Source organism: Homo sapiens, chromosome 1, assembly GCF_000001405.40.
Source record: "Homo sapiens chromosome 1, GRCh38.p14 Primary Assembly".
In the NCBI taxonomy this organism is placed as follows: domain Eukaryota; kingdom Metazoa; phylum Chordata; class Mammalia; order Primates; family Hominidae; genus Homo; species Homo sapiens.
In genome coordinates this window covers 196,679,378-196,701,854 of record NC_000001.11, presented here as the reverse complement: position 1 = coordinate 196,701,854, position 22,477 = coordinate 196,679,378, and the positions used below count along the sequence as shown (strand labels likewise).

General features: G+C 35.1%; 1 protein-coding gene across 2 annotated transcripts in view, besides 1 other annotated feature; it reads right to left on the bottom strand.

Moving 5' to 3' along the window:
• CFH (complement factor H) overlaps positions 1-22,477 on the bottom strand; it is a 95,462-nt gene that overhangs the window by 45,650 nt on the left and 27,335 nt on the right. The window contains exons 6-10 of one of the 2 annotated variants that reach the window (NM_001014975.3): positions 22,062-22,232; positions 16,618-16,791; positions 12,241-12,435; positions 11,616-11,792; positions 289-537 (exon numbers count right to left, since the gene is read on the bottom strand). In NM_001014975.3, coding sequence (NP_001014975.1) covers positions 524-537; positions 11,616-11,792; positions 12,241-12,435; positions 16,618-16,791; positions 22,062-22,232 — 731 coding nt within the window. In that variant the 3' untranslated portion in view covers positions 289-523. Of the gene's footprint in view, positions 1-288; positions 538-11,615; positions 11,793-12,240; positions 12,436-16,617; positions 16,792-22,061; positions 22,233-22,477 lie in introns of those variants that run through there. The other variant, NM_000186.4, reaches the window with a different exon arrangement.
• Positions 16,009-16,209: a silencer, noted in NCBI's record as "peak637 fragment used in MPRA reporter construct". NCBI's record gives its function as "represses an SCP1 promoter by STARR-seq MPRAs in K562 erythroleukemia cells {active_cell/tissue: K562}" and the evidence as "EXISTENCE:reporter gene assay evidence [ECO:0000049][PMID:32103011]".

Here is a 22,477-nt window from a genome sequence, read left to right as displayed (position 1 = left end):
GTTTCATGGAATGATAGACAAAGGCCTTTCAATTTTGGAAGATGCAGCCCATCAGGGTTGCATTGTGGGTTACTTTGGGAGAACTAAGGGACAGCCCTTAGTTCATGAGAGCTAAGTAAGCTGCTAGGGTTTGTCTCTGGGTCTGTCCCAGTGGAAAGGGGGCACTAGGCAGTGAGTAAATGCCCTCAAAGAGAGTGACCTCGACCTGGCTTGCCACAAATAGTTACGAGATTGTCAGATTTGTATGCCTGCTGCACAGCAACAGAACAATACACTGAGACAGTGGGGTTTGCAGCAGAGAAAGAGTTTAATAATCTCAAAGCCACCAGCCCCATTGGGCTGCCTGGAGGAGCTGAATTAGCATTTCCCATTCTGGCTGGAATAATACACACATAACAAAACAGATACTAGTCACCATACTCAGGACCCAAGTATTGACCTGGCAAGACTCAAACTTGGTTCCATTGGCCCTTGTCATCTTTGATCCACTCAAGCTGGAGAGGGATGACCTTCGATCAGAAGTTCAGAGGGTAAAGCCTGGGAAAGATTGAAGAGCAGATGATTACCCTGAGTTAGGCTTGCTGAGATTCCACTAGCAACTCCTTCAGGACTAACTGAATGTGACTGACCAAACAAGAAGAGTTCCCTGAGTTAGTAATTTCTTCCACTAGTAATTTCTTCAGGGATCCCCTCCACAAACATAAATACATATAACAAGACAAAGACAAACAAAAGACCTTTCCATATAAAGTTTCAGATTCCAAAATCCAAGACCATTTCTCCCAAGCAATGCCCTCTAGTCTTTTTCCATCTGAAGGGAGATCTCCTCAAATAAGTTCCTACCTAGACTTAGGGAGTGTCAACAAGACCTCAAAGAGGCCACAAGACCTCTAAGACGAAAACAGGCACACACACACAGAAGGAAATGGGGTGCCAGCTGCTCTGAGAAAACTCACCTGAGACTTCTTCTGAGACCAGAAATGGTTTCTCTGCTGCAGACAAGGTTGTGTGCTGAAAGTCAGCACTGCCCTGCCAACACAGAAGGCCCCAGCTAAGGCCCTTAGTTCATCATAACTAAGCAGCTTCTTGAGCTTCTCTCTGGGTCAGCCCCAGTGGCATGGGGGCACTGGACTGTAGGTAAATGACTGCAAGGAGAGTGGCTTGCCATGAATTTTTTTTTCTTTTCTTTTTTTTTTTTTTTGAGACGGAATCTCAATCTGTCTCCCAGGATGGAGTGCAGTGGCACGATCTTGGCTCACTGCAACCTCTGCCTCCCAGGTTCAAGTGATTCTCCAGCCTCAGCCTCCCAAGTAACTGGGATTACAGGCATGTGCCACCATGCCTGGGCAACTTTTGTATTTCTAGTAGAGACAGGGTTTCACCATGTTGGCCAGCCTGGTCTCGAGCTCCTGACCTCAAGTAATCTGCCCTCCTTTGCCTCCTAAAGTGCTGGGATTACAGGTGTGAGCCATCATGTCTGGGTGCTTGCCATGAATTTTTATAAGATTGTAAGGTTTGTATGCCTGCTGTGCAGCAACAGAATATACCAAGACAGTGGAGTTTGCAACAGAGAGTTTACCAATTGCAAGGTCACCAAACAAGGACATGAGAAGAATTCTCAAGACTCAAACCCATTTCACTGAAGCTTTCTGGGCAAGAATCTTTGAAGGGGGAGTGGCTGGAAAATTGAGGTCATCAATTGATTCGGGTAAGGGGGCTGAAATCATCAGGATATGGAAAGTACATTCTTCCCTAAGTTGAGTTTCTTGTCAAGCCTTTCAGAATGGCTGGCATCAGTAGTTTTGTTAGTATGCAGAACCTAAAGGAGAAACTCAAATGGAAAGTTTGTCATCTCATATTGTCTTAAATTTTAACTAAAGAACAGAAAAAGAACAAAGATTCTAGTGACAAAGATTATGTTATCCTGGACTAGTAATCAGTGACCAGCTATAAGGAAGTGGGTCAATGGAAAGCTAGCCTAATGATTACCATTGATTGTCCTACAAGCCTAGTTGAATTTTACTTTTTCCTCCTTAACTGTTTTTAAAAATTTTTTGAGGATGTTTTCAATTTAAAAAAGGAGCAAAGGCAATTCAATAAAGAAAACATAGTCTTTTAAACAAGTGATACTGGAACAGTAACGCATCCAAATGCAAAATAATAACCCTCTACATATTCCTCATACCTCATACAAAAATTAACTCATATAACTAAGTGTAAAATGTTAACTTCTAGAACTGTATATGGCCTTGGTTTAGGCAAGGAAATTTTAGATGACACAAAGAGCGTAATCTATAAATGAAAAATGTGATAACATCAAAATTACATACTTTTGCTCATGAAAAGAGACTATTAGAGAGAAAAGTAAAGCTACAGATGCAAGAAAAATATTTGCAAAATATTTACTCAGTGAAGGGCTTGTAGCCACAATATATCATGTAGTCTCAAAATTCCGTAATGGAAGAAACAACTCAATGGAAAGTGGGCAAAATTTAGACAGTGTTCACCAAAGGAGGTACATAGATGGTAAATAAGTACAAAGAAGATGCTAAGCAGCATTAGTCACTAGGGAATGCAATACCATCACACACATATTAGAATGGATAATTTAATGGAAAAAAAAACACATTATCTCAAAGGCTGGCAAGGTTGCGAAACAACTGGATCTCACATACACTGAGTATGTGAAGGTACAATGTATGATCGCTCAGGAAAACAGTTTGTCTATTTCTTATAAAAATGAACACATATTTAGTATGATATTTGCTATGGGTTTTTAAAAAATAGCTCTTATAATTTTGAGATATGTTCCATCAATACCTAGTTTATTGAGTGTTTTTACCATGAAGGGGTGTTGAATTTTATTGAAGGCCTTTTCTGCATCTATTGAGTTAATTATGTGTTTTTTGTCATTACATTTATTGATTTGTATATGTTGAAACAGCCTTGCATCACAGAGATAATGGCGACTTGCTCATGGTGAATAAGCTTTTAGATATGCTGCTGGATTTGCTTTGCCAGTATTTTATTGAGGATTTTCGCATTGATGTTCATCAGGGATATTAGACTGAAATTTTCTTTTTCTGTTGTGTCTCTGCCAGGTTTTGGTATCAGGATGATGCTGGCTCCATAAAATGAGTTAAGGAGGAGACCTTCTTTTTCTATTGTTTGAAATAGTTTCCAAAGGAATGGTACCAACTCCTCTTAGTACCTCTGGTAGAATTTGGCTGTAAATCCATCTGGTCCTGGGCTATTTTTGGTTGGCAGGCTATTAATTACTACCACAATTTCAGAACTTGTGTTTGGCCTATTCAGGGTTTTGACTTCTTTCTTCTGCTTTAGTGTTGGGAGCGTGTATGTGTCCAGGAATTTATCCATTTCTTCCAGATTTTCTACTTTATTTGTGTAGAGGTGTTTATAGTATTCTCTGATGGTAGTTTGTATTTCTCTGGGATCAGTGGTGATACCCTCTTTATCATTTTTATTGTGTCTATTTGATTCTTCTGTCCTTTCTTCTTTATTAGTATGGCTAGTAGTGTACTTTGTTAATCTTTTCTAAAAACCAGCTCCTGGGTGCATTGATTTTTTGAAGGGTTTTCATGTCTCTATCTCCAGGTCTGCTCTGATCTTAGTTATTTCTTGTCTTCTGCTAGCTTTTGAATTTGTTTGCTCTTGCTTCTCTAATTCTTTTTTTATTATTATTATACTTTAAGTTTTAGGGTACATGTGCACTACGTGCAGGTTAGTTACATATGTATACATGTGCCATGGTGGTGTGCTGCACCCATTAACTCTTCATTTAACATTAGGTATATCTCCTAATGCTATCCCTCCCCCCTCCCCCCACCCCACAACAGGCCCCGGTGTGTGATGTTCCCCTTCCTGTGTCCATGTGTTCTCATTGTTCAATTCCCACCTATGAGTGAGAGCATGCGATGCTTGGTTTTTTGTCATTGCCATAGTTTGCTGAGAATGATGGTTTCCAGCTTCATCCATGTCCCTACAAAGGACATGAACTCTTCTTTTTTATGGCTGCATAGTATTCTATGGTGTATATGTGCCACATTTTCTTAATCCAGTCTATCATTGTTGGACATTTGGGTTGGTTCCAAGTCTTTGCTATTGTGAATAGTGCCGCAATAAACATACGTGTACATGTGTCTTTATAGCAGCATGATTTATAATCCTTTGTGTATATACCCAGTAATGGGATGGCTAGGTCAAATGGTATTTCTAGTTATAGATCCCTGAGGATCTAGACAATGACTTCCACAATGGTTGAACTAGTTTACAGTTCCACCAACAGTGTAAAAGTGTTCCTATTTCTCCACATCCTCTCCGGCACCTGTTGTTTCCTGACTTTTTAATGATCGCCATTCTAACTGGTGTGAGATGGTATCTCATTGTGGTTTTGATTTGCATTTCTCTAATGACCAGTGATGCTGAGCATTTTTTCATGTGTCTTTTGGCTGCATAAATGTCTTCTTTTGAGAAGTGTCTGTTCATATCCTTCACCCACTTTTTGATGGGGTTGTTTGTTTTTTTCTTGTAAATTTGTTTGAGTTCATTGTAGATTCTGGATATTAGCCCTTTGTCAGATGAGTAGATTGCAAAAATTTTCTCCCATTCTGTAGGTTGCCTGTTCACTCTGATGGTAGTTTCTTTTGCTGTGCAGAAGCTCTTTAGTTTAATTAGATCCCATTTGTCAGTTTTGGCTTGTGTTGCCATTGCTTTTGGTATTTTAGACATGAAGTCCTTGCCCATGCCTATGTCCTGAATGGTATTGCCTAGGTTTTCTTCTAGGGTTTTTATGGTTTTAGATCTAACATTTAAGTCTTTAATCCATCTTGAATTAATTTTAGTATAAGGTGTAACGAAGGGATCCAGTTTCAGCTTTCTACATATGGCTAGCCTGTTTTCCCAGCACCATTTATTAAATAAGGAATCCTTTTCCCATTTCTTGTTTTTCTCAGGTTTGTCAAAGATCAGATGGTTGTGGATATGTAGCATTATTTCTGAAGGCTCTGTTCTGTTCCATTGGTCTGCATCTCTGTTTTGGTACCAGTACCATGCTATTTTGGTTACTGTGGGCTTGTAGTATAGTTTGAAGTCAGGTAGCATGATGCCTCCAGCTTTGTTCTTTTGTCTTAGGATTGACTTGGCAATGCGGGCTCTTTCTTGGTTCCATATAAACTTTAAAGTAGTTTTTTCCAATTCTGTAAAGAAAGTCATTGGTAGCTTGATGGGGATGGCATGCTGCCAAAGGTAATTTATAGATTCAATGCCATCCCCATCAAGCTCTATTTCTTTTAATTGAGGTGTTAGGGTGTCAAGTTTAGATCTTTCCCACTTTCTGATGTGGGCATTTAGTGCGATAAATTTTCCTCTAAAGACTGCTTTAACTGTGTCCCAGATATTCTGGTACATTGTGTCTGTCTTCTCATTGGTTTCAAGGAACTTATTTACTTCTGCCTTACTTTCAATATTTACTCAGTAGTCATTCAGTAGCAGGTTGTTCAGTTTCCATGTAGTTGTGTAGTTTTGAATGAGTTTCTTAATCCTGATTTCTAATTTGATTTCACTGTGGTCTGAGAGACTGTTTGTTGTGGTTTTTGTTCTTTTGCGTTTGCTGGGGAGTGTTTTACTTCCAATTATATGGTCGATCTTAGAATAAGTGCTATGTAGTGCCAAGAAGAACACTTGACTTCTGGTGGAGAGTTCTGTAGATGTCTATTAGGTCCAGTTGGTCCAGAGTTGAGTTCAAATTGGGAATATCTTTGTTAATTTTCTGTCTCGTTGATCTGTCTAGGATGGACATAGTATTGGGAGTTTTGGACCAGACAATCAGGCAAGAGAAAGAAATAAGGAGTATTCAAATAGGAAGAGAGGAAGTCAAATTGTCTCTTTTTGCAGATGACATGATGGTATATTTAGAAAACCCCACTGTCTCAACCCAGAAACTCCTTAAGCTGATAAGTAACTTCAGGAAAGTCTCAGGATGCAAAATCAATATGCAAAAATCACAAGCATTCCTATACATCAGTAATAGACAGAAAGCCAAATCATGAGTGAACTCCCATTCACAATTGCCACAAAGAAAATAAAATACGTAGAAATACAACTTACAAGGGATGCGAAGGAACTCTTCAAGGAGAACTACAAACCACTGCTCAGGGAAATAAGAGAGGGCCAAAATAAATAGAAAAATATTCCATCCTCATGGATAGGAAGAATCAATATCATGAAAATGGCCATATTGCCCAAAGTAGTTGATACATACAATGCTATTCCCATCTAGCTATCATTATCTTTCTTCACAGAACTAAGAAAACTGCTTTAAATTTCATATGAAACCAAAAAAAGGTCCCATCTAGCCAAGACAATCCTAATCAAAAAGCACAAAGCTGATGCATCACGCTACCTGATTTCAAACTATACTACAAGACTACAGTAACCAAAACAACATGGTACTTGTACCAGAACAGATATATAGGCCAATGGAGCAGAACAGAGGCCTCAGAAATAACACCACACATCTACAACCATTTGATCTTCAACAAACCTGACAAAAACAAGCAATAGGGAAAAGATTCCCTATTGAATAAATGGTGCAGGGAAAATTGGCTAGCCATATGCAGAAAACTGAAACTGGACCCTTCCCTTACACCTAATATAAAAATTAACTCATGATGTATTAAAGGCTTAAATGTAAGACCTAAAACCATAAAAACCATAGAAAAAAACCTAGGCAGTAGGTTATTCAGGACATAGGCATGGGCAAAGACTTCATGACTAAAACACCAAAAGCAATGGCAACAAAGGCCAAAATTGACAAATGGGATCTAATTAAACTAAAGAGCTTCTGCACAGCAAAAGAAACTATCATCAGAGTGAATAGGCAATCTACAGAATGGGAGAAAATTTTTGCAATCTATCCATCTGACAGAGGTCTAATATCAAGAATCTACAAGGAACTTAAACAAATTTATAAGAAAGAAACAAACAACCCCATCAAAAAGTAGGTGAAGGATATGAACAGACACTTCTCAAAAGAAGACATTTATGCAGTCAGCAAATACATGAAAACAAGCTTATTGTCACTGGTCATTAGAGAAATGCAAATCAAAACCACAATGAGAAACCAATTCACGCCAGTTAGAATGCCGATCATTAAAACATCTGGAAACCACAGGTGCTGGCGAGGATGCGGAGAAATAGGAAAGTTTTACTCTGTTGGTGGGAGTGTAAATTAGTTCAACCATAGTGGAAGACAGTGTGGCAACTCCTCAAAGATCAAGAACCAGAGATACCATTTGACCCAGCAATCCCATTACTGGGTATATACCCAAAGGAATATAAATCATTCTACTATAAAGGCACATGCACACATATGTTTATCACAGCACCATTTGCAGTAGCAAAGATTTGGAACCAACCCAAATGCCCATCAATGATAGACTGGATAAAGAAAATGTGGCACATATACACCATGGAATACTATGCAGCCATAAATTGAATGAGTTCGTGTCCTTTGCAGGGACATGGACGAAGCTGGAAACCATCATCTTCAGCAAACTAACACAGGAACAGAAAACAAAACACCACATATTCTCACTCATAAGTGAGAGTTGATCAATGAGAACACATGGACATAGGGAGGGGAACATCACACACCGGGGCTTGTTGGGGTGTGCGGGGAAAGGGGAGAGAGAGCATCAGGACAAAGAGCTAATTCATGCAAGGCTTACAACCTAGATGACGGGTTGATGGGTGCAGCAAACCACCATGGCACACGTATACTTATGTAACAAACCTGCACGTTCTGCACATATATCCCAGAACTTAAAGTATAATAATAATAAAACACACACACACACACACACACACACACACACACACCATTTATCTAACAAACCCAGTCTTAGATATGTATCCATGAGGAATAAATTTGTGTTTATATAAAAACTGCAGATGAATATTTTTCTTAACAGCATGATTCACAAATGCCAAAAACAATGCAAATGCCCTTCAACACATGAATGGATTAACAGACCGTGATACATGATATAATGGAATAATACTTAGCAATAAAAAAAGGTGTTCTGGGTAGTGTGATGAAATCCTATGCCATTCAGCCCCATTCTCCCCAGAGCCTGAATACTTTCTTGTCTAGTGCATCCACAGTTTATACTACCTGCCTGTTAGTCACTTAGTAGTCTTTGATGAAATCCTATGCCATTCAGCTCCATCCCGCCCAGAGCATGAATCCTCCCTTCGTCTAGTGTATGCACCAGCCTGTTAGTCACTTAGTAGTATTCCAAGTTATCAGGTGGAAAAACATAGTCTACTTGGGTTTTATACTATTAATCATTTCGGGCATTTACTGGGGAGCCTGGAACATATCCCACATGAATAAGAGGGACTAGTGCAGCTTTTTTCTCTCACAGGTAAGTAGAGACTACTCTGTCTATCTTCAGAAGAATCATTCAGATGGCACTAGTAATTCAAGTTTTACAAGTCAAGAGAAATTGATATTCTGTGATTTATCTGGCAAATTTTTTATTTAAATGACTATTTTAAAGGAAACTACAGCCAGTTTGCATTCATAAAGGATACACTCCAATATATATCTACTGTACTCACTCAAGTATGTTTAATTTTTTCTGCATATTCTCACAACATGGTTATGAGGAATTTAGATTTTATTAAATTGAAAAACAATGTGATTCACTGACAATTGACTGTACATGAAAATATAACGTTGATATCTCAATCTGAAGATGAAGCTAAGACTTGTTAATTATATGACAACCGTAAAGTAGCTAAATAACCTGACTAAAGTACAGGGTCTAGCATGAAGAGTAAAATAGTAACATTCTTAAGAATAACTTGAGCCAGACAAACTTGGGACAAAAGGAAAGAAGGAAGGAAGGAAGGAAGGAAGGAAGGAAGGGAGGGAGGGAGGGAGGGAGGGAGGTGACAGAGGGAGGGAGGGAAGGGAGGGAGGGAAGGAAGAAAGAAAGAAGGAAAGAGAAAGAAAGAAAGAAAGAAAGAAAGAAAGAAAGAAAGAAAGAAAGAAAGAAAGAAAGAAAGAAAGAAAGAAAGAAAAAGAAAGGAAGGGAAAGAGAAAGAAAGAAAGAAAGAAAAAGAAAGGAAGGGAAAGAGAAAGAAAGAAAGAGAAAAAAGAAAAAGAAGGAGAAACGTAGACAAAGAAAGGAAGAAAGAAAAAAGAATGAAAGAAAGAAAAAGAAAGAAGGAAGAGAAGGAAAGAAAGAAAGAAAAAGAAAGAAAGAAGAAAGAAAGAAAAAGAAAAAGAAAGAAAGAAAAAGGAAGGAAGGAAGGAAAGAAAGAGAAAAAATAAGTAGTTGATTCTACAATCAGCTCCAAAATCAAACCAAGAGGCATAAACGTTGATTGAGTTGTTTGATATCAGGAGAAATTGCATATCTAATCAAGGCATATTATTAGCCTCAATTAATCTGTGAAGAAAAAAATAAAAGTAATGGGATCATCTGACACTGAATGATGAGACAAAAAAGAGACTGATGAAGCAAAAAGATTTGGGTGAAAGGTCATGATTAGGGTGAAAAGTCATATCCATACTTATTAAAAACCTATATTAATTAAAATTCAGGGAGTGGAGGTTGCAGCGAGGCGAGATCGCGACATTGCACTCCAGCCTGGGTGACAGAGTGAGATTCTATCTCAAAATAAAATAAATAAATAAAATTCAATAGAGGGTTACTGCAATGCTGGTTAAAAAATTGTTTACTAATAGTGCAGAATACTCAGAGTAATAGTTATTGTGTGTGTGTATACACACACAATGTACAAAATATACAATAAAAAATATACTGTTTGAGAAAGGTACTATAAAAATTGTTAGGGAAATGTTGAGTTTACCATATTTCATTTAAACATGAAATACAGCCATTATCATGAATAAAATCAACACAAAATATTTTTAAAATATGAAAAGAAAAGGTAACTTATAACTTTTTAGAATAAAGAATAGTATAGTGGCTCTATGTTTTTGAAGTATTCCTTTAAATAGAAACAAGAAACATTCATCATGAAAAAAGATTGACTATTATGTAGTAGAATGAGCAACTTATGTTCATAATGCAGAAAAAAGGAAAGAAAAATACTAGCCACAAAGAGAATACATTTGCATTACGTATAATTAAAAGAGATTTTATATTCAGAATTGTTAAGATGATTCCAACTAATAATACCAAAACTCTCAAAAAGGTAAATAAAGAAAATCAAACTGCATTTCCAAAGATTAGAAGCATTAAATACCAATTAAACTGTGAATATATATTCTAAACCCAGTTAGTGGTAAAAGAAATGCAAATTTACACTATAATGTTATAACATTTTATAGCCATTCAATTTGTAAATATTAAAATGTGACATCACCAATCATTAACATGTAAAAAAAGAAGTAACTGTTGATATAAATGTATGTTGGAATAAATACTGTAGGAAACCTTCTAGAGTAGAATATGCACAAGATCTCAGAATACCCATTTGTACTTACATATACTAGAGAAAGTCAAATAGCTTTACTGTAAAAATGTCATATCACTGCTTGAATATATGAATTATTGGGTATCATCGTATTTACTTTCTATTTTAAACTATAATTGTATAATTATTTTGAGTCAAATGATTGATTCCAATGTACATATTAATATTGATATAGGAGTTGAGAAAAAATTGTTTAGGCAGATAATGAGGGTACAGCAGTCCTTGATAAGGTTTTTCCTTTTAATGAAAGGCAGCCCCCAAATCATTTTCTTTTCTAACAAGAGGAGCCTGTAAAATCGAACTGCAAACATAGACAAGCAAGCTGGAAGCTTGCAAGGTGAATGCCAGCAGTTGTGCCAATAGGAAAAGGCTACCTGGGACTAGGCATGTTCATATGGCAGGTGCATCTTCCTTTCTCTTTGCCAGCCACGTGTACAGTAAGGAGAAAGCAACATGGCGCTGGCCAGGCAAAGATCCCATTTGATTAATAAGATTAGGGTGGGGCGGCCAGCTTCCTGGCATATTATGTAAATGTCACACCTAGTTTAACCAATCTTTGGGCCCTATGTAAATCAGACACTGCTTCCTCAAGACCGTTTATAAAATCCAGTGCACTCCACCAGGGGCAGGGATTCACTTTCAGGTGCCGCTCTCTCTCACAAGAGAGGAAGCTGTTCTCCTTTCTCTTTCTTTTGCCTATTAAACCTGTGCTCCTAAACTCACTCCTTGTGTGTGTCCACGTCCTTAATCTTCTTGGTGTGAGATAACGAACCTCAGATATTTACCCAGACAATGATGCCGCTTCAATACGACTTCATTTAACCAACAAGTATTGTGTTCAAATTCTTTTACTGTATTCTTGACTAATGCCCATTAATAGGAGAATTTATTTTACTATGTACTTATCAAGAAATTTGTATATTCATTTATACACAGTTGAAAAACCAAAAACTAAATAGGTCCATTGGTAAAACAAGGTGACATAAACATTTTGCCACAATTAATATAGATGAGTCTTAGAATGTCATCTATGTTACTTAGAAAGACATGAACATGCTAGGATTTCAGAGTAGTGTACTTACTGACACGGATGCATCTGGGAGTAGGAGACCAGCCATTCTCCATACATGTAACTGTGGTCTGCGCTTTTGGAAGAGCGTAGCCAGGATGGCAGGCAACGTCTATAGATTTACCCTGTACAAACTTTCTTCCATGATTTTGATTATATCCATTTTCCAAATAAGGAAAATAACATTTTCCTAAGGACCATAACAATGATAAATAAATAAAGTAAATGAGAAACATAAATTTGCTCAAAATAGTATATTACAATTATTTTTACAATATTTAAATAAGATTGCATAAACATCCAAAAATAATGTATAACTGAAGACGAACTAAAGTTACTAACAAAGGTTTGCACAAAAAGAAATATCAATATTCAATATTACTTATCTTTAGTTTTTATAATTAATAGATGTATAAATTATATAGATATTCTCATAAAGTCCCTATATTTATTTCTCCTGTGATTTTCAAGAAGAAACCCTCATAATAGAAAAGATCTATTTTGGTCACTTTGCTTGAACAACTCTTTTCTTGGCCCTATTTCTGTTACATAAGACAGGTGTAATCACTTATGTGCTCTCCTTTCTTCGATCTTTGAAAGTTTTATACATATATATAGCAGTTCAGAGGTTTACTTACTGAGGCATGGTACTGCTGGCGACCATCCATCTTGTGTGCAATGAATGTGATCCCAGTAACTTCCTGACGGAGTCTCAAAATGTTCATCACAGTAATAGGAGTAATATTTTCCTACAGCTACTGGAAAGTATGGTCTACGCATATTCTCATGATATAGACCTCCATGTTTAATGTCTGGATAATCACAAGGTTTCACTTGCAATAAAAATTTTAAAAAAAGTATAAAGAAATTTTACTGTAATAAACACTCATATTAGAGATAAATTTTTATCACTGAATTATATTCTCTTCTTAGTATAATTACACATTCCATTAGGGTTTCTAGGTCAAAACAAATGATAGAACTCAGATGACTGAGATATGTAACAAGAAGGTCTTTGTTAATGAAGATGAAATTATGTCTTGTGGATCACATGATGCGTAAATTTGTATGAAGGCTCTCCAGAAAGAAAAATGCACAGACCTATTTAATATATTTCCCTTAAATACACATACCCTATCCCTGGTTAATTAAATAAGCTTTTCGGTTGAGAAATATGCCAATTTTACCGCTTAGCTCATGTATTTCTTTCTTTCTTTCTTTCTTTTTTTTCTATTCTCATCAGTAAACAAGAGCCCTGCATTTTCTTCTCAGAACAATTCAATGTAAGGAAGTAGTATTTTGAGGGATTTAAGGTTTTTATTTGTTTTAGATTGAATTCATGGGCTGGGCGCAGTGGCTCACGCCTGTAATCCCAGCACTTTGGAAGGCTGAGACAGGCAGATCACTCGTAAGGAGTTCGAGACCAGCTGGGCCAACATGGTGATACTCCGTCTCTACTAAAAATACAAAAAAAATTAGCCGGGCCTGGTGGTGCGCCCCTGTAATTCCAGCTACTTAGAAAGCAGAGGCAGGAGAATCGCTTGAACCCAGGAGGCAGAGGTTGCAGTGAATTGAGATTGTGTCTTTGCACTCCAGCATGGGTTACAGAGTGAGACTCCATCTCGAAAAATATAAATAAGTAAATAAATAAATTAGGCTCTTTCCTATTTATTGCAGACAACGTAAAAATATAGAGAAACACAAAAATTTTTCTTTGATGATACCGCGCAGAAAAATAACATAGTTAATTCATGCCTCAAACAATTCATTAAGCCAAGTTCTCCAGTCTGTATTTAACCAGAGAAACAGACTAGAAATATTTCTTCATATCCAAATAGTTAAGATTTTGATTAACTTTTTTGTTTATTTCTAATTTTAATTGGAGAGAAAAATAATTTTGATGTCATAAAATATATTTAAGTAAGGTACAATATAATTACATTTTACTGAGTTATTATATATTAATTTTGACAAATACATTTGAGTGCTATCTTGTTTATTATATTAACAGGTTTATATATTTTTCAGAAAATTTGCTCTTTTCATGGGATTATTTGTAGATTATCTAGTACTTTCAATAACAAAATGGTATTAATGTTTTCCATGAAATATGTTTCTATTTCAATAAACCTTATGCAATAGGTTAAAAAGAATTTCAATACACACATACACACACACACATATAAATATTCTTTTACATCTCCATCTTTCTTAAATTCTGTGATTTATTTTCTTTTGTATTTGATTAGAGAAATTTTCATGTAGTTTCTACATTTATTATGTGGATTATAAACTGAATAATTGTATATCTTAAATGTATTTCTCTAATAAAGACTAGTGAATGATACTTCTTTCAGTATAGTTTCTTGGCCTACAATCCATATATCTTATAATTGATAGATTTTTTTCCCTATTTATCTGAAGCTCCCAGTGTTGAAATTAAAACATTTACTTAGTCTTATTTCTTTTAAGTAACATTCTACATTTTTCCTCACCACTTTTTAAAGATTTGGAATATTTTCTATTTACCATTGGATTTTACAAATTTCATCATGATTTGTTGAGACATGTATTATTTAACAATAATTCTGCATTGGGAAAGCTTGAGTCTTGGATTTGTGGGAGCTGTGCCTTAAAGGCCTCAATTGAATTTCACATTAAATGGTAGAGTAGAGATTTCAAAGCTTGTGGTTGATTTCAAAGCAAGTATGAGTATCCATCTTATTATGGTATTTCCCAGAAGGTCATAAAATAAAATTGTCCACCGAGATTTCTTTCCAAAAGGAATAAAAAGGAGGCATAATTAAAAACATATAACATTACCACAGGCTCGAGCTATTTAGCTATTCTCTAATTTGGTCACATTTACATCTGTTTTTATCCCTTTTACAAATTGATTCCTTGAAGCAAATATTAGTACCCACAGAGAGTCTCATCAGCGCTGAGAATAGAAGGACTTCAAATAGCTTCATTCTACTTGTTACACTTCTACAAATGTAGTTTTTGGTTTCACAGCATTTATGGTGTTTCCATCATAAAGTTGGCTCAAACAGATCTTAAAATTGATAAAAATATTCACTAATTTTTATAACTGCTGCTAATATATTCATACTGTAATTTATTTGACCCAAGTCCAGGATCTTAGAGTCAACATTGTTAAATTTCATCTTATTAGATTCAGCTTAGCACATAAGAGTCTCTTTGAATGCTGAACTGCCCTAATGCAGATTCCTTATTATCATCCTCTGTATCATTCCAATTGTGAATTTGTACTGCACTTCCCCTAAATCATTAAACTGTTCAATGACACAAGTGAGTAATGAAGCAGGCCTGAGAATAAAGTCATGCGTCTGATAATTAGATATGGTTATTTAATGAAATTAAAAACTGATAAACCATATAACTCATCAACTCCTCTATCTTGTCCATGAGAACTCCAGATGGTTCATTGTCAAACATTAATAATTGAAATCCAAATATAGTTGGGTCTCAGTTGGTTTAGATACATTTGGGCTGAACTACATTGTCATAAGCCAACCATAAAATCATTAAATATTTTCCTCATAATTCTTATGCACACTGAAATGTTTCATACTGATAATAGCTTCCTCTCTTAGGGATTGGAATTATGCCAGGAATTAAAGTTGAAGTCATTAATCAATCATTTGTATCATATTTTTCTTTCATGGAATATATAGTTTAAGTGTAGTACTTCTTGTCTATGTACTTATAGATAGAAAGAAAAGAAATTTGATTGTAGAGATAGAAAAAACATTAAAAAGGGGTAAAGGAGCATCCCAGAAATAAAATACTCTATTGACTTGAGTGGTATTTTGCTACATGTGATGATTTTTGGAAATTACCTCCAACACTAGGAAATGACTAAGACTTGGAGTCCTTCAACACTCCTCCCTCCAAATAGTGGTGCCTAATTTCTCTCCCCTTGGATATATGCTGGACTTAGTGTCTCACTTCGAAAGAATAGATATGGCTGAAGTTAACAGTGTGTGAGTAGATAATTGATATGGTTTGGCTCTGTGTCCCCACACACATCTCATGTTGAATTGTAATTCCCAATGTTGAGGGAGGTGATTGGATCATAGAGGTGGATCTCCCCCTTGCTGTTTTCATGATAGTGAGTGAGTTCTCATGAGACCTGGTTGTTTAAAAGTGTGTAGCACTTTCCCCTTTGCTCTCTGTCTCTCCTGCTCTGCCATGGTAAGATGTGCTTGCCTCCCCTTCACCTTCCACCATGATTGTAAGTTTCCTAAGGCCTCCCAGCCATGCTTCCTGTACAGGCTGTGGAACTGTGAGTCAATTTAACCTCTTTTCTTCATAAATTATCCAGTCTCAGGTAGTTCTTTCTAGTAGTGTGAGAACACACTAATACATGGTATTGTGGCTTCCTCTATTCTCAGATTAGCAGTGCTGGAGAAAGCTGCCATTTATCAACTCATGGAAAGGCCTATGTGGTAAGGACCTGAGGCCTCCTGACAACAGCCATGTGTGTCAGTAATGTTAGAAGCAGATCCTCCTTCCCAGCCAAGCCTTCTGATCACTGTAGCCTGGGCCATGATCCTGATTGCAACACAAGAAGACAGTCTGATTCACAACTACTTATATAAGCCATTTTGAGATTACTGACCGATAGAAACTGTAAGATAATAAAGGTTAGTTGTTTTAAGTAAATATGTTTTTGGGGTATTTTGTTACAATGCAATAAATAACTAATATAGTATGTGTTAGATGACATTATTTTTATCTAGTGTTTTAATTCAGATATTGGAATAATTTATTAATTAGGGAAACATACATTCATAAACACACATACACATTTAATTTTGAGTAGCAAAAAATATGAGTTTCGGCAACTTCGAAAACTAAAGAATGCTTCCAACAGCCTTACTTTGTATATACAATAAGACAAATATTTGGTTTTATTGAGTCCCTATTTTTTATGTGTTTAAAAGAAATTTCAGAATTAAGAAATGGGTCAAGATATGAATGGAACTTACAGGTACATCTCGGAGCAGGTATCCAGCCAGTACTTGTGCATTTTGCTGTATTTCCCCGGGTTGCAGGATAAAAACCATTTCTACACTGGTACGTGATTTCATCTCCAGTTCTGTGTTTAATCCTTAAAGGTGAGTAGTCACCATTTGGAATATAAGGATTATCACATGATTTTTCTGAAAAGAAAAAGGATATATGGATAATGCAGAAATAAGTATCCGTTAAAATTAATCATTTATATAAACATTTAAAAGTGGGTGTTATTTATTTGTCCTTAGCATAATACAAAATGGCATTAAAATGAACATATCATAGTATCCTTTCTGGTATATCACTTATTTTTCCCTTCACTATATTCTCATCTGACATATTTGTACCTCCTGGGCTCTTAATCCCTTCTTCTCCAAAGTCATCCCATACTTCATGATTTTCCATAACTGGCAATGTTCTCATCACATATAACTTCAATTCTTACTTTCACTTTCCTTCTATTCTTTGGTTTCTGTGGTTCTCATAAGGATTGTTTACAAATATTCAGTGTTTCTTTCTTCTGGACAATTGATAGGACTGCGCAACCCTTCCTCTTTGAAGTAACTGTGGCCATGTGATTGCGTAGGAGACTATAATAAAAGTGGAAGTAATATCTTCCACTTTAGAGAGAAGTTTTAAAAGCCATTGTGTGAATTTTTATGTTCTCTTTCCCAAAGATACCGCGATTAAAGAAGGACATGAAAAAAAATGATGTTTCTGTCACTTGATTCTTACAATTAATACAATGAGTAAAGTCCCTTCTGATCTACATTGACAGTGAACATGAATGAAAATAAACTTCAGTCTTAATATCTTAAACATTGAGATACTGCATTACATTTTTCTTACTATAATAGGATAAAATAGCAGAGGGTTTGGAAAACCTTTTCCGTAAAGGGCCAGATAAAATGTCTCTGCTGCAACAACTCAACTCTGCCATTATAGTACAAAAGTAATGAAAAACAATACATAAACAAATGAACTTGGCTGTGTTTCAATAAAACTTTGTTTACACAAAGGGGGCAAGTTGTATTTTACCTGCAGCCTATAGTTTGCCATCCTTTGGCCCAGTGTATCTTAATCTATAAGGCACCTTCTCACTCCTTTCCATTAACTCTGCTATATCTCAATATTGGATCCATTTGCAAAATTCGTTTTAAGATAAAATACTATGCATTTTAAGTATTGTAGAAAAACTATATGACCACTTCTATTGGAGTCATATTTTATTTTGGACTAAAAAGCTGTGGCAAACATTCAGCATTGCTTGAAATCCATTTATATACCCCCAATTTATTTACTATTTGATTTCCCATGGTAAATGATCCATAGTCTCCTCTCTTTTCTCAAGCCACCTGAAACAATTGCCTCTTCATCAACAGATAATAAGTCTCCATTCACACAAAACAATTGAGACCAGCAGTAGTGAGTTTCCTATACTTCTTTCCAGCACTCCTCAACATTATCTGTATCTATACTGATTTAAGTCTTTAGTTTAGTCTTCAGTGGTAAAGTGTTGCTTTCAAATTCAGGTTAGCTTTAATTCTTTCATTTTCCCCTGTATTTTAAACCATTGTTTATTCCTTCCCTCTTTCTTACCTTATCAACCACACTCTTAAATTGATATGGAAGCTTTTCCAATTTTCAGTCCCTTCACTCAACCCTTTGTTCAAGTTTAGCTAATGTACTACATTTCTCCTCCCCTTCAAAACCAAAATCCTTAAAATACCATTTTATAATTGCTGTCTCCACTTTCCCGTCTCACATTTATTCTTTAACTCACTACTACCTAGTTTCTGACCTCTATTTTGTTGCCATTGCTCTGATAAAAGCTACCAATGAGCCCAATGTCCAAATTCAGAAATGCTTTGCATTTCACATATTCCAGTCACTGGTACATATTATGGACTTCTTAATTATTTATTGAACTGAACAGATAAAACTCTGTAATATTTGACTCTGTTGATTACATACTTTTTGGTGTTCTCCATTACCTTATATATTTATGTTCTCCTGCTTCTCCTTGTCTTTGTCTAAGTGATGCTTTTCTTTTATATCTTATTATTTTCCTTTACTTTATATTTTTTGCTTCTCCTCTTGTACTTTACTTAATTTTTTAATTTTTGGGCCCTGCATACTTGTCACATCTCATCTCCTGCCATTTTTCTACTTCTTCTCTATACTACCACCATTCCTTTCTCATAAGTTGTATATTAGTCAAACATAAAATTTTATAAAGTTTTAATTATTCATTATATATTTCCTCTTCTCAATACCATACTTCCACTGTGTCCATTCAGCTCCTAAGTTTATACTTCGTTCTGACAGAATAAGCTTTAATATATCTCTATAGCTAACAGGATAATATATTTAGATTAGCAATAATTATATGAGAAACAATATGTATGTGACTTAATATACAAGTTTTAAAGCTTTACTATTTTAAAATTTTACTATTTTATGTAAAAATATGTCTTCAGTGTTTGATGTTGACACTAACTTCAAATAAGTCCTAAATGTATTCCTTTTTTCTTTTTTTCTGTCACTTCATTCTTCTCTATCATATTTTCATATACCCATTAAAGTTCAGTTTATGTATCTTCAATTATTTTTCCTTATGATATAGCTCAATTTAATACCAATTTTTGAAGTCAAAAGCTATGAGATGCAAAAAACAAGAGTTTAACTAAGAAATCAATAAAATAATATGGAACAATTTTGTTAATTAAGAATAGAAAGACTTCTGGTGATTATGCTCAAGCAGTAGACATAAATCCTGTGATAAACCTTAATTTCCTACACTCATAATCTTTTTAAAAATACATCATGTTATTAAAACATTGCCCGAACCTGTACCTTTATCCAAAACAATACTTGAGACTATCCATATTTTCCTACTATTGGAAACAACCATTGGTCATTTGAAGTTAGAATACTAATTCAAGGTTAGCACTCTATGCTTTGAACCAATAGAAAATCCAATCTGTACAGGGAAGAGATAGATTCGGATCAAAGATAGCTTTCCTTTAGCAGTTCTTCGTACCTTTGATTGTTTCTATAAATAACTTTCTGTTACAGATTGTCCCTATTGGACACAGAGACCAAAGTTTTGACAATTCACCTTTAAATCAGTCCTCTGACATGTGTGTGCCATAGACCAGATTGAAGAAAATTAAAGTATTTAAAATTTAAGTAGATTATTTCACTTTAATATTATCTTATTATTTAATTCCAAACTTCTTATAGATTTAGAAGCAACAAAGAGAGTTTGAAGTTACCTGATTTCAGAGAAAATGATGTGTATAGATTTTGAATTCATCTTATATCAGCAAGTAGATCCTTGCTTTGTACCAAGAAAATAGTCATATTTATGCTATATTAGTTGGCATACAAAGAGTGGAATTCTTTTATTAAGAAAGACTTCTCTATATCTAATCAGCGTAAAGTATATTTCAATAAAATAAAACGTGGTGAGAGAGTGTATGCTTAACTAATTTGGGATAAATCCTCCTTTATTTATATCGATTATTAGTGAACTGTCTTCTGAAAAGGAGTACCCAATCCCAGTGCCTTCTCTTGGTATCTCTTTTCCTAAAGAAAGCAGGACCTGCAAGCATAGTATTGAATATTCAGGTTTTACTTGTACTTGTGACTGAGAAATGGAAAAAAATTATAAAAGAAAAATGTTTTATAAATGTAGAGTCTTTGAGGGGTGTGTGTGTGTGTGTGTGTGTGTGTGAATCAATTAGTGTTCAAGAGAAGCAAGAATAGAAATGCAGTAATACATTTGGGAAAAACAGATGGATCTCTCATTGTGAAAACAAATATGTGCTAAGGAAGAGTTTTAAGTAGGTATCAAAGTGAAGAAGTAAAAGAGACGAAAAAATCAGATGACTACAATGAGGTAGTAATGCTACAGAGTCACATATTCAAATAAAACTAAATTCCCAGAGTCTTATTTTGAATTCATTGAAAGCTGGAATGATGGTTTATTGCAATGTTTATCTTCAATACACAGCAAGGTCCTGATGTAAAATAAGTGGTTTATAAGTTACATTTTGATTACTGCATGGATAAATTCACTATAGATTTGAGAGGGGCTCTGGAAATAATATACTTCAGGTAGAAGTTAATGCCAAAGGACTTGTGCATGCACTTCCTTTGCTTAGGAACTACGAATGCCATGAAGACAAATAGTTGGACCCCACACACCATTAGCCAAACATGGATCTGATGTGGGTTATTACTGTCTCATGTTCATTAATTTCTTTCTAAAATATTCTCTTAACAGTGCCTAAAAGTAGAGATCACGCAATTGTGAAGAAAAATATGTTTTCCAAGGAGACACTTGTGGGCTCAAACCAAAATTTTTTTAGTGTATAAAATTAACCCAAAATTAACTATTCTTTTGTAAAAGAGGATTACTAAAGCACAGTTTAAACATGTATTTATGAATCATGGGATTTAAAGTTCAGAGGGCTCTTAAGAGTTCAACTCTTCTTTCTCTCACAGTATGGCAGTATCACCCTTTTAGATTTCTGGACCATATGTGGTAACACTGTTCCTTGTTTCACTAATTGCAGCAGACCTCATCAAAAGCAAACCCACTTATTTTATAAATGTTTGAAAATATCTCAAAACTGTTATCACCACACTATAGCTGTAGCTTCTTACTGTACGTCTTATGGCATAATTTCTTAAAAGTCCACAACTGTCCATATTCTCTCTTCTTGGCCATGATAGTTTGAAACTTTCCCGTTTAAAATGAAGTAGGTTAAGTAGAACACTCTATTCCAGATATATTTTTTGGTGGGCAAAGAGCACAGTTGAGATGAACTCTTTGGCTCTGTGTAACATCCCTCCATAATGAAAGTTGAGAGGTTTTTTTTTTTTTTTTTGGTAATTTTCCAGGACCATCATCACCGTTGAGTCATACTGGGCCTGTTGTTAACAAAAATATTCACTTCCTTCAACTTAATTCCATTGTCAGTTGAGAGTTTCCTCACCTGGTATTAATACAAGTTACTTTTAAAGTATTTTAAAATATTCATATAATTTAAATAAATTCTGGGCATTAGTGGAGCAATCTACTTGTTTGAGAATTGTATGTTACTGAGAATTAGGAAGTCTATTATAGTCCTCACTCTGATCCAGACATGGTTTTTGATGATAGACCAATGACTTAATAAGCTACTGAACTTTTCTGGCCCTGTTTATGTCTGTTTTCAGAGTGTGTGTATCGTACGAAGTGTACTCAAAATGAACCTTGAACACAGAAAATGCTATATGTTTTTTATAATAGTTTATTTACATAAATTAGCACTCTACTTTTGATTAAAATAAGTGGATTTATTAAAAGAATTAATTAAAATATGTGATAAATTTATAAAGATCCAGAAAATAAAGGTAACATTACCTTCACATGAAGGCAACGGACGCCATCCAGATTCAGTGCATACAGCATCTCCTCTTTCACTGTATTCATAACCCATGTTACATTTATATTGAAATCGTTCATTCTCCTTATAAATAATCTTCTGAGATATAGGAGATCCATTTATAACATCTGGGGATTTGCATGAAATTTCTAAATAAAAGGGATTAAATTCCAAAATGTTTATTGCAAATTAAAGGACTGTGACCAGGACATAATTATATGAAAACAGAAATGTTGTTTCCATCAGGTAAATCAGTCAACCAAACAAAAGTTCTGTTTTGACTTGACCGCTTAATAAATGATTTATCTGAAGAAAGTTAAAATTCTGATTAAAATTATGCTTCTGATTTTATTTAGTTTCAGGATAAATTAGCCTTCTTGAAATAAATAGTGAC